Source organism: Homo sapiens, chromosome 13 (assembly GCF_000001405.40).
Source record: "Homo sapiens chromosome 13, GRCh38.p14 Primary Assembly".
Lineage (NCBI taxonomy): Eukaryota > Metazoa > Chordata > Mammalia > Primates > Hominidae > Homo > Homo sapiens.
Window position 1 is genome coordinate 26,360,055 of NC_000013.11, and position 14,053 is coordinate 26,374,107.

General features: G+C 35.6%; 1 protein-coding gene across 4 annotated transcripts in view; it reads left to right on the forward strand.

The window, feature by feature from the left end:
• CDK8 (cyclin dependent kinase 8) overlaps positions 1–14,053 on the forward strand; it is a 151,110-nt gene that overhangs the window by 105,926 nt on the left and 31,131 nt on the right. The window lies entirely within an intron of this gene.

Below are 14,053 nucleotides of genomic sequence, written 5' to 3' on the forward strand. Positions count from 1 at the left end.
ACTATTTTTTATAAAACTTAAAAAAGGAATGCTTTTCTCATTCAGTTTGTGAAATAAATTTCAAAGTCAGTTAATATTTCTTTTACTGGGAAGAATTCTGTGATAAATTAAAAATTTGAGGCAAAGCATGATGGCTTATGCCTGTAATCCCAGCACTTTAGGAGGCCAAAGTAGGAGGATTGTTTGAGGCCAGAAGTTAGAGACCAGCCTGGGCAATATAGTGAGACTCTGTCTCTACAAAAAGAAAATTGAAACACATTGTCAAATATGCTGGTATTTGTGAATCTAAGTGAAGACTGATATGTAGTCCAGCTCCAATCTTCTTTTCTTTCCCTATCTTACTCCTTAAGCTAATTTTCCAGCCAACTCAGAGGTTGCCCTGCCTGCTTGAATCCCCTCATCCCTTCATCTTCATAGCTCGAAATTAAACTCTCTCTAGTCACCCTAGCTGAAAATGAGAATGTTTATATCTAAAATCCTATTACAGCTACTTTGAACCACCCATGGGCCACTTACTAGTTTTGGTAATATGGTAATCTATTTGATTATAAACTCCTGAGGGCAAAGACTGTGTCTTACTCTGTGTTTGTATGCCTCCCACTGCCTACCAAAATACACAATTTGTGTATACAATATTGCATGTTTGTTGAATGAATGAACTAGCTTACTTGTAACAGAAACAAAGTGGCTTCCAAGGTTATTTCTGATTTTACCTAATGCTTATGCATATCTACAGACACATGCATATCCTTTTGCATTTCTTTTTACTACCCTTTTACCTCTACTATGATTTACTGCAGTGAAGTGGTGCACAAAAGCTTCCCCCCATCCGTCTGCATTTTAAATCCTTTCAGCTGCTTCCCTCTTACTACTCAGAAGAACTCAGCTCTTACTAGTCAGTTCAAAGACCATTCAACTAATGATATTGACCTATTGATCTCTTTTATTGCTCTCTTCTTATACGCAATATTTTTGTTTCACTCAGTGAAACCTATTTGCTGACCCTTTTCCTATGTGTTCTGATGTTCTCTTTATGTCACTTATTTTTCTCAAATTTTTTCTTTAATCTTAAGGTTGGAACATTACTATCATAGTTAATATACATCCCTCACTTTATTCAAAAACATCTTAAGGTTCCTTCTGAGTAAATTCTTTAATTGCAAATAAGATGGCAATGCCTACCTTCTTCTAAACATACCAACTGTTCTGAACTTGGAACTCTTCTATTTCACTTTTACATTGCATTTAACTGACCAGTCTATTACTTGTCATAATATATTTATGGATGCTCCTTGACTTACAGTGGGGTTCCATCTTGATAAACCCCTCATAAGTTGAAAATATTGTAAGTCTAAAATGCATTTAATACACCTAAACTACCAAACATCAGAGATGAGTTCAGTGTGTTTTAAACATGCTCAGAACACTTCAGTCAACCTACAATTGGGCAAAATCATCTAACACAAAGCCTATTTTATAATAAATTTGTTGAGCATCTCATGTGATTTATTGAATACTACACTCAAAATGAAAAACAATGGTTGTATGGGTACTGGAAGTACAGTTTTTACTGAATGCATATTACTCTCACATCATCTTAAAAGCCAAAAAATTATAAGTCACGCCATTGTAAGTTGGAGATCATCTCTAATTTCTAGCTTATAGTTGCTCATTTTGGGACTGCTTTCATTTTTTAAGTAATTTTCTTTTTGTCTTTCTTTTCTTTTCCCTTTTTTTTTTTTTTTTTTTTTTTTTTTTTGAGACAGGGTGTCACTGTGTTGCCCAGGCTAGTCTTGAACTCCTGGGCTCAAGAGATCGTCCTGCCTCAGCCTTCCAAAGTGCCGGGATTACAGGCCTGAGCCACCACACACAGCCATTTTGTAAATTAATTTTCTAATGCACTTATTATTGGCTGTGTTTTATGCTTTTTGTTGAAAGTATTCATAAAGCTGTATCAGACCATAGGAATGATTTATACTAAATCAACATCTAAGTATTAAAGACTTGGTTTTGATGTATTTTCTAAGAAAATTAATTGAAAGTAGAGTAGTAGTTATATGACTGGCCTAGTAGCCATTAATTTTTGTAAAGTACATGTATTAGAGTTCTCCAGAGAAACAGAGTCAATAGGATAGATAGGTAGATGTATGTGTGGATGATAGATGATAGATGGATGGATGGATGGATGGATGGATGGATGGATGGATGGATGGATAGATAGATGAATGACAGAGCATTTGCTAGAGGAATCGGCTTATGCAATTATGGAGGCTGAGAAGTCCCATGATATGCCAACTGCCAGCTGAAGAAACAGGGAAGCTGGTTGCATGGTTCAGTCTAAATCCAGATGACCTGAGAATGAGGGAGCTGATGGCATAACTCTCAGTCAGAGGCCAAAGGTTTGAGAAGCTGGGGAGCTACTGTACAAGTCCCAGAGTCCAAAGGCCAGAGAATGGAGAGTTCTGATTTCCAAGAGCAGGAGAAGAAAGGTATCCCAGCTCCAGAGGAAAGAGAAGTTGCCTTTCCTCTGCCTTTTTGTTCCATCTGGGCCCTCACCTAATAAGATGGTGTCCATCTATGTACGTTACTTGGAGGTGGATCTTTCCACTTTAGTCTACTGTTTCAAATGCCAGTCTCTTCTGGAAACACCTTCACCGAAATACCCAGAAATAATGCTTTGCCAGCTATCTGGGTATTCTTTAGTCAAGTTGACACCTTAAATCAACCGTCACAGTCTATATCAAATTTTCATATGGTCATTAATGTTTTCCTTGTTTTAAAATATGTGATATCCAAAATTTCATTTTAATAGTTACCTTAATGATTTTATCATAGTAGTAGTTAACTTGGAACTAGCAGGCACACAGTGTGTATTGTAGTCCTGTTTTACTAAATGGCATATAATGTTGAGTGAGATATACTATAACTTTTCATTGTAGTTTTTTTTTTTTTTTAATTTTCAAGTTCAATTACAAGATTGTATAGAAATTTGGAGTATTTCTCACGCCTGTAATCCCAGCACTTTGGGAGGCTGAGGTGAGTGGATCACGAGGTCAAGAGATCGAGACCATCCTGGCTAACACGGTGAAACCCCATCTCTGCTAAAAAAAAAAAAATGGAAAAATTAGCCAGGTGCGGTGACAGGAGCCTGTAGTCCCAGCTACTTGGGAGGCTGAGGCAGGAGAATGGCGTGAACCTGGGAGGTGGAGCTGGCAGTGAGCCGAGATCGCACCACTGCACTCCAGCCTGGGTGACAGAGCAAGACTCCATCTCAAAAAAAAAAAAAAGAAATTTGGAGTATTTCAACTATTGCAGCCATCGTCGGTTGGCCACTCCTGCTCTTAACTAATTCAAAATAGTGATTTTTAATGTCATAGTAAAACTTTCTAGAAAATCTCTAGATTTGGGGAGTGTTTCAGTAGAGGTATGCTACTCACTTCAAAGCTTATTTTGGAAAAAATAAGCTTTTTTTTGTTTGTTTGTTTTTGGTAGAGATGAGGTCTTGCTGTGTTGCCCAGGCTGGTCTCAAACTCTTGGGCTCTTGGGCTCAAGCAGTTCTTCTGCCTTGGCCTCCCAAAGTGCTGGGATTACAGGCACAAACAACCTTGCCCAGCCTGATTTATTATTACTTTTTAAATCTGATAGTGTTGCTGTCCTGCAGTTTATTTTAATTATACTGGGTAATTTGGAATCACTAAGTGGGACTTCATGTGTCCTTGGTGAAGGATATGTTGGTTTCCTAGCAACTGTTAAATAAGATTAAAATCTTGGAGGGAGCCATTGACTCAAACTCAGTTTCATAGGGCACACTTTATCAAGGCATCTTATTGTGTATTGATAGCATGATGAATTATTAAGGCATTTTGGGTCTGATTCTTTTTATTTGAGTGACAAAGTGAAAAAACACCTAATGTGTTTTACTTACCAATACTAATGTTTGCTCATGGTTATATGACATTTTTGTTTTTGTTTGAGGTGTATTTTCTTATTGTCTGCTCAACTCTACTACTAGTAAGTGGAAAAATTGAGAAGCAAAGAGGCTAAATGACTTCATTATGGTTATTCAGAGAACTGTAGCAAAGCTGGACTACCGAATTTAGGATTTTTCCTCTAGTTCAGTGATTTTTAAATTGCAGATTATAAGCCATAAACGAATCAGGAAAACACACGACACAATCAGTTTTTTTGTTGTTGTTTTTAATGAATTAGAATAAATATGAGAGTGCATCATATATGTTAAGGGTAATTACTGTTTCATGAAACTTTTGATTCAGTTATGTATATTTGTCATTATTGTCATGTAATATTAAATGTGTCACATAATATTAAATTTTACTGTGGGTTGTGTTGAAAAAGTTTTGGAAGCCCTTGCACTAGAAAATTCTTAGGCCCAAATTATAGAAACTTAATGTTTTTTGCAAGCTTTTTGACATTGGTAATAAAATCATTTTGAATAGCGGTTAGGAGGGATTATATAATCAGTAGAATTTAAGGAAAGTTTCAGTTTCTTCCTTCTATACCTTTCAAATTGTTGGAATAGTTTGTAGTTAACATACCTTATTGTTACAATCAGAGGGAAAAAAGTGTTTTAATCTGGATCATAAAACTGAAGAAAATGTTTATTTAATGTGTTATTAAAGCTCACATGTAATGTTCATTGTGGTTTAGTATATTTTATGTTGGTAAAGGGCGATTGTTATTTTTAAAATAGCCATATATACACTTTCTTTCTTTCTAAAAAGAGGCATTAGTAAATTCTTCAGAAAAGAAAAAGCAAGCGGAAAGGACCCTGAAATTACCCATAGACTAAAAGAGGGGCAGAGCAGTAGTCATGGAACAGTGGGAAAGAGAGGAGTCTGCATTCTAGACATCTGTTGCCACTATTTTTCCTTATCTGTGCTGTAGTAGCTTCCTTGAAATGAGAGTTGGGAACCTGTTAAGCGTGTTTAAAACAGAGCTTTTTGAAGGAAAAATGCTTTTAGTTGTCAGGTTTAATTATTACTCATGACTTGAGATTTGCTTCGTTTGTTGGGAACTCCAAGGATTTACTCTAATTGTACCTTGTTTAATTGGGTAGCTAATAAAACACATAAGATTGCAACCATAAAATTTAGGCTTGCAGATAAAACATGGGTTTGGTAACAACTGATTAAGGCAAATTTAAATGAGATTTGCATTAATTTCAGTTAACATTGTGACTATTGTGCTTATTCTAAAGTATTCTTACTTAAATGACCAGCTGGACAGTTTTCCTTCTGTAAACTGATTATAAACAACCCATTTGGCTTTTGGGTACATGCCACATTTGCTTAATTATTATACTGAGCATGCACAATGTACTGTTTTATTATTTATCAATAAAAAAGTGGCCCACTTCATTTTATTAAATGTCACAATTGCAAATAGCATATATGTTTATATGGGTAGGTTACAAGTTGATAAAAATATTATGTCGTTTGGTTTGCATATTACTTAGACATCTCACCAATCAAGAATGGTTATTCTAAATTATCTCATCAAGATTTTGTTTTAAATGGAGTTTCTTTAAGATGTTTTTGTGTGACCATGGAAGTTGACTTGAAGTAGAGGGTTATCTGAGTTTTTCTCCATTCATAACGTAATTGATGTAATACATCATTATGTATTTTACATAACTCCTCCCATTTTTATAAACAAAATATACTATCATCCACAGCAGTGTGTTTCCAAAAACCTGGACAGATAGGGAGACAAGAATTTTTCATATCTCTGCCTGCGTCTTATATAAGCTATTACTTGATTTAATACGATATTAATGGTGACCCCTCAGTTTTTCTCTTTTGACCTTTGGACTTTCACATTAGCAAAACAAATATATCACAATACCAAGAAACTCTCTCTTTCCAAAGAGAGTTTCAGAATACTCTGAATTATACTGTGAAAAAAAACCATAAAAATTAATATCTCAGTCTAACTTTCTAGTAATAGAGTCAGGTTTTAGAGTTATTTTCCAGACTTCTGAAGATTTGCAAAAGTACCTGAATCTTTAAAGATGGACTATATTAGATAAGATTTTCTTTTATCTCAGCTAAAGCTGTTATCTAAACCTATTTTAAGTTATTGGTGCCATTGGCCACATAAAGCTTTCATTAAATCTTTTTCAGTTTGACGACCATATCTCTTTACTGGATACAAGCAAATGATAAATGGTCAAATAACAGAACAAAAGTAAGTCTTCCTACAGAAACAAGCACAAGCAGAGAGCCATATTTCAAAATCAGTTCAACCCAGAAGTTCAAGTTCTTGTGTACATTTTTATAAATTTTGTTTGAATCAACATACAATATTTTTTTTAAGATTTAATACAATGAGAAGTTTCCTCAATATAATTAGATGTAAAATCAGTAACCGTTACTGAATTAACTATTGAAAGAAATGTTCGTTTATTAAAGTCTCCTACTCCCCCAATACAACTGGATTTTACCTTCCCTTTTAATAGTGATCACTTTGTTATATGACCTATATCTATTTTTTATTATTTAATTTTTATAACTTGCCTCCAGATTTTTATCTTACTAAAAGTATAATACTCTAAGTAGGTATGTGTTCTGAAGATTCCTCTCTGTTCCCAAATAGATGTGTGAATTTCTAAAATCAATTTCTATTCTAATTTCCAGTCTTTTCAGATCACAGACAGGCTTGTAATTCAGGTCAGTGTAGTTTAAGATGCCTATTTAATAAAAACATAGAAGTTGGGAAGATAGATTGCTAATTTTTAAAAATTCATTTAACATCTGTTTATGTAAACATCTTGAACCATTTGAAATAAGATCATTTTTTGTTTTCCCTAATTTCACAGACTAATAGGCCTTAAAGTTGGAAGGCATCTTAGCAGCAACAGACTATTCCAGTCTCTTAGCTGCCATAGTAATTCTTGGTAATATGCGGGGCAGACAACCCTGCTGACACTGGTCGAACATTTCCATCATGGCTAACTTTCTGTCTTATTAGAGTAAACTTGTTGTTACACAGCTATAATCCTTGAAGGTAGAGTCAGAAATTTGGAATTCCTAATACTCATCCTTTGGGCCCTCTCTTCCTTGATTGGTCTTCTCTTTTTTCCCCCCTTCTGGTTAACACTAGATGGTAAAATCAAATGTCTGAAAAACAAACAAACAAAAAACAAAAACAAATGTCTGAACCTTGATGCTGAAGAGGGGCTAAGGGAGATCCAAAAATAAAAGGCAGAGCAAAATAAAGAACAACAAAAGGAGAAATTAAGAAGAAAAATAAGAAAGGGTTGCACATGGTAGGAAGCGATAGAAAATCTTGGGTTATCTATCCTTGAATAATTTTTTTTTTTTAATCAGCATGGGCCAAAGAGGAAAAATTAAGCCCCTGTTATAGTGGACCTGAGATTTGTTTGAATCTTTGTTCTACCACTTAATTGTGTTACCATGGGAAGCATTAACCTGTCTGTCACTTTTCTCAGCTATAAAATGGGGCCAGACCTATTTGTTTTTTCCTTTGGGTAGAGATTGATGTGAAGACTGGCACATAATAAATGTTCATTAAGTACATTTCACTTTTCAAGTTGCCCTGTGAATATTAAGTACATGAGGATTAAGAGCTTTATCCGTTTTGTTTACTGCTATATCATCACTATCCAGAATGTTACACGGTGCATATTGGATGCCTATAAATAGCTTACTGAATGAATAAGTAGATTTTTTTGTTAGCTCTTCCTTCAAAACATCTCAGATCCAGCTATAGTGAGACCTTATTGGAATTCAAATTCGAATAAAGCACAATTGGCAATTGGTCCTTATCATCTGCCTGGTATCTTTTTCTCAAAGAAGAGTCAACTGTAGTGCTTATTTTCAAGGAGAGGAATCCATGAAAGGAAGGGCAGATTTGGCAGGGATTCTGGACTTATTAGCCCAGTGTCCCTGGATCAATCCAATAAATCATTTGCCATCTTACAAGGAGATTTCAGAATTTTCTGCTGCTGGGAAATGGATTTGGATTGCCCAGATGGTCATTGGGATTGCTAGTTGTAGAGGTTCACCTTGTCCATTTCATTAATATCTGTTTACCCTACCCCTAGCTAGACCCCACATTTTACACAGTCGAATTTTTCGGACTCCAATAATTGCCTCATGGTCTTGCTGCTCACCGTTTCTGTCACCACTACTCTAATTCAGGCCACTTGGATTACTGCAGAAACTCCCCAGTGATCTTCCTCTCTTGTTGTCTTGTGTTTGTTTGATCTAATAACTACAAACAAAATGATCTCTCTAAAAACCAAATCACATCGTGTCATTCCCCTATTTAAAATTCCTCAATATCTTCCCACCTGGGAGACTGATATATTCAAAATCTTTCCTAAACACATTGTACAGTATAATGTCTTTTTACCGTGGTGAAAGCTGCACCATTATTTTATGTACCACTAAGAAAGAAAACATGCTGCCAATTTACTATCACACCACGGAGGCTGAGACACATCTTGCTTTCAGAAATTCTAAGATTTAAAAAGAAAAGTAAAAATTGGAATCCATGAAATGCATTTTCTTCTTGTCATATAGTAATGGTTAGGACTTATTCACTAATACAGTGGCAAATATAATAGAAGTGACTTATTTCTGTCTTTAAGGAGAATTCTTAAGTTTCACTATTAGATATGATATTTACTTTGGGGTTTTAGTTAAAGGTAAAAGATGTTCCCTTCTGTGCCTGGTTAAGTTGTTTGTTTCTAAATCAATAATATTGCTTTTTCTGCGTCTTCTGGGATGATCATATGGTTATTTCCTTTAATCCATTAATGTGGTAAATTACATTTATATTGTTTTCTTTTGTTTTTAATGTTGAACCCTCCTTGCAGTGGAACCAACACACTGTCATGATGTTTTTTTTTCATTCACTAGTAGATTCCGCTTGCTAATACTTTGTTTTGTCTATTTTCACAAGTAAGTTTGGTCAGTAATCTTCTGTTCGTATATTACCTTTATCCTGTTTTGTTATCATGATTTTATTAGCCTCAGAAGACGCTTTTAGTCTCTGGAATAGTTTGTATAATATAGGAATTATTTGTTCCTTGAAAGTTAGTAAAAGTCAGCCAGGGGCGGCAGCTCATGGCTGTAATCCCAGCACTTTGGGAGGCTGAGGTGGGAGGATTGCTTGGAAGGATTGCTTGAGCCCAGGAGTTCAAGACCAGCCTGGACAGCATGGTGAAATGCCATCTCTACAAAAAAAAAAATGCAGAAATTCGCCAGGTGTGGTGATGCATGCCTGTGGTCTCAGCTACTCAGGAGGCTGAAGTGGGAGGATCGTTGATCCCAGGAGGCTGAAGTTGTGGTGAGCCAAGATCGCACCACTGCACTCCAGCCGGGGTGACAGAGTGAGACCCTGTCTCAAAAAAAAAAAAAAAAAAAAAAAGTAAAAGTCCATCTGTAAAACTCTTATTGTGGTGCACTGAACTGAGGTTGGACGATTTTTTTTTTTTTTTTTTTTTTGAGACAGTCTCGCTCTGTCACCCAGGCTGGAGTGCAGTAGCGTGATCTCCGCTCACTGCAAGCTCCGCTTCCTGGGTTCATGCCATTCTCCTACCTCAGCCTCCCGAGTAGCTGGGACTACAGGTGCCTGCCACCATGCCCGGCTAATTTTTCTTTCTTTCTTTTTTTTTTTTTTTTTTTTGTATTTTTAGTAGATAGGGTGTTTCACCATGTTAGCCAGGATGGTCTCGATCTCCTGACCTCCTGATCCACCCAGCTCGGCCTCCCAAAGTGCTGGGATTACAGGCATGAGCCACCATGCTCAGCCGGTTGGACGATTTTTGACTATCATTTCAATTTCTTTAGTAATTGTTATGCTATTTAGATGCTCTATAGAACACTGAATTAAGTGAACATTTTAAAATAAAGTACAAATTACCACAACTGGCCCTAGAAAAGGTCAATAAGTAGATCAATAACTATGGAAGAAAGACATTTGTCACAGGACTACCCCTAAGAAATGTACAAAATGCAGATAGTTTCACTGTTGCTTCAAACCTTCAAACAAATAATCCTACATTATATAAATTGTTCTAGAGTTGTGTAAAAGAAAGAACATTTCCTTAATAACTTTATAGGAAGAAAGCATAACACTGACATAGAACCTGATAAAGATAATGCCTACAACCCTAAACCATTATCACCTGTAAATACTTAAGCATATGTCTTAAATAAAATATTAGCAAATAAGATCCGGGTGAACTTAAGGTCTAAGTCAGTGAAGTGCATTTTAAGAATGTGCAGATGATTCCATATTTGGAAACCTCTTAACAAAATTCATCTTATTAATAGTGCAGAGTGGATAACCCTATGATTATCTTAGTAGTCATAAATATAACACAAAATTCAATATCTGGTGAAACAGTGTTCATTTCTGGTTGAAATTCTTAATAAAATAAGAAAAGGAAACTTCCAAGCATCAAAAGTATGTATCCCCTGTTTCATCTTATATCCCAAATCAGCAGCTTTTATATACTTCCAATATTCTAGCACCACTGTTACTTAACAGTGTTCTGAAAGAGTTCTGGCTCAGAAATAAACAGTCACGATACAGGATTGATTAAAACAGGACAAATGCAGTAGTGCTATCCAACTGCTAAACCAGTTTCTATATGTATACAGAGAGAGAGGCCAAGAGATTTACTCACTGTTGAGTAACCAGAAACAGGAATTAAAAGAGCCTTGATAAGATATTTATATTACATGTAAAAAATACAGATTTAGAGAAATCTGGAACTGTGTCCAACAAAATGTTTATAATGATCTAACTTCGTGAGGTAGGATTTCAGTTAAATTTCACTTTCTGTATGCTTTCTGTGTTTTGATTTTCTATAAGAAATGTTTATTTTTGTTTAATTTTTTTTTTAAATGTTGCTAATAGTTTTTTAGGCATAGACTAGAAGCTAGAAAGTGATCATAGGCAATTAGGGGCATCTCATGGGTGGTATAGAAAGTCCCGCAAGATGAACTTCTTGCGGGCCTTATCCAATCATGCATGAGTCCCATCCCCTGAACCCCCAGCCCCAGAAGTTTTTACTTAAGAGTCACTGTGGTAGTGAATCATTGTTAACAGATTATAGTGTGAGCTGCCATCTTAATTATCATTATAATGTATTTAGGACTTTTATATATCAAGAATCTTGCTAAAGCCTTTCATATAAGTCACATTTAGTCTGTCTGACAACATTTTATAGATGAAGAAATGGAGGCTAAGTTTACATAACTAATAGCTAATGACATTCCTGATTTTTTCAGCTTTATTCTTAATCACCTAACTGTATTTCCTCATCTTCTGAAGAAGTTCATCATATTCCTCAATATTTAGGGGGAGAAGAAAGTTGGAGAACTATCAGTCTGAAGTCTCCTGTGTCTCTTGGAATATGGAAGTTATCGTCATACTATCAGATATAGTTTATTTCAAAAAACTGAAACATATTGTAGCAGAAGGATTAAAGTAGTGAAAATACAGCAGAGAACTAATGGTCTGTTCAGTTTGCCAATTGTACAAAAAGAAATAGAAACACGTGTACCTTGACTTTTTTTTTGGAGACGGAGTCTCCCCCTGTCGCCCATGCTGGAGTGCAATGGCGTGATCTTGGCTCACTGCAACCTCCGCCTCCCGGGTTCAAGTGATTCTCCTGCCTCAGCCTCTTGAGCAGCTGGGATTACAGGCGTGCACCACCATGCCCAGCTAATTTTTTTGTATTTTTAGTAGAGATGGGGTTTCACCATGTTGGTCAGGCTGGTCTCGAAATCCTGACCTCAAGTTATCCGCCCGCCTCAGCCTCCCAAAGTGCTGAGATTACGAGCATGAGCTACCGTGCCTGGCCATAACTTGACATTTTCTATCAGATTATGACAAAATTTTAAAAATAAAGAATGAGCAAAAATTATAGATTACAGCCATGTAATTTAATAGGTTACGTGGCATTTAGGGATATATAAGAGAGTATACTTTTCAAATAAATAACCACTCAAAAATGTGTGTGTCTAGGAAAGTTCAGTGTGTACTAGAAATAAAGATATGCATGGTAAGTATTGACAAAGACACAAGTCTGCATTAATCTCTCAGAACACAGTAATAGAAAACTAAAAATAAAATTTTATTTTCCTGTTAGCATAAGTTGAAAACTGTGCTATTTAATACAGAGTTTGAAAGTAGAGACTCTTGAGTGAAATATATACATTCATTGCAAATTGAAACACCTCAATATTAAAATAATGGGGAATTGTACAAATAGGCAGAAACATATTGCTTTAAACCAGTTGTTTGAAAGGCACATTAAAACAGAAAAACTTTTTGAACGTATTAGAAAAAGAAATAATAATAGATGATAAAAGCCATTTGGAAAAACACCAAGACTAACCAAAAGTCAGACCACAAATGATGTAGTTAATTTAATATACACTTACATAGTTTGTGTGTATAAACATGTATTTTTTAAAAGTTCAATTTTATTAGTAAAGTTGTACATTGAAATGTAGGAGATGCCATTTCTCCTATTAAATGGTAGTGCTCAGTTGTTGACAGTGCACTGACAGTATAATGCAGTAGTTAAGAGGGTGGATTCTGGACCCATACTCCCTGTATTTGAACCCCAGCTCTGCTACTGATGAGCCAGTATGAACTGCTAATATAAAGTCTCAGTTCAGCTGAGGCCTTTCTGGCCTTAGTCATCTCATCTGTAAAATTAACCTGTGTAGAGGACTTGGCACATAACTAACATTCATGTTGCTGTTGTCAAACCATCACTCTCTTCTTTAAACTCTTCAGTGAAATTTCCTTTTAAAGATAAAAGGAGCATTTTTTCTGCAACTAGACCCTGCAGTGCCTGGCCCCCACTTGTCTTTGCAACCACATTTCCTGCCAGTGTACCCCTGTGAATTATGCCATACCCACAAATGCCTTCTTGAATAAACCCAGGTATTTACCACTTCAGAGCCTTCTTGTTTTAACTTCTGTTTGAAAAGTTCTTCTGTCCACACCTGCTTAGGTACCACATACGTAAGTAACCCTTTCCTCTGGCTAGTTCCTTCTCATCCTTCAATCCTTAAACGTCACCTCAGAGAGACCTTCCCTCACCATCCTGTACATACTAGTGCCCCCATTATTCTAATTCTCTTTTTCTTTCATTGTACTAATCATAATTGGTAGGGTTTTTTTTACATATATTTGTTTGCATTTTCTAATGTCTGTCTTCCTTATGTGATAGATACAGTGTCTGTTTTGTTACCCACTATGACATGCCAAGAATGGTACCTGATAGATAATTGGCCTTTGCTGTGCTGTATGAATGAAGGAACACTAACTGCTGGACATAATTACAGCCTTTCTAGAAAGCAAGAATTATCAAGAATAAAAAAAAAATCATTCCTTTTGATATAACAATCTTTTAACAAATTTTCTTAAAGATATTATAAAGAATGGTGCAAGGGCCATCACAGAATTGATGGTACTAATTACAAATTATAAAATATTTACATGTCTAACAACTAGAGAATAGTTTCACTGAATTATGACACATAGAAAAGGTCAACTGTTATGTAGTCATTAAAAATTTTGATAAGTTTAAATAATGTTTCAGTGTTACAGACAAAAGCAGACTATAAAATACTGGAAATAAAATACAGTGTAAATATATCAACAAAAAAATTTATCAAAAACAGTAGTTAAATTTGAGTAGCTAATTGTATTTCCTTAATTGTATTTGAAAATTAACTTTCCTGCAAAAGCATATGTTATGTTCTAGAGGGGAAAAGAGATAGTGTGTGTTTTTTTAAGTATCAGAAGTGTTAAAAAATTTCATGAATGGAACAGGCGCAGTGGCTCACGCCTGTAATCCCAGCACTTTGGGAGGCCGAGGTGAGTGAATCACGAGGTCAGGAGATTGAGACCATCCTGGCTAACATGGTGAAACCCCTTCTCTACTAAAAAAAAAAAAAAAAAAAACAAAAAACAAAAAATTAGCTGGGCGTGGTGGTGGGTGCCTGTAGTCCCAGCTGCTCGAGAGGCTGAGGCA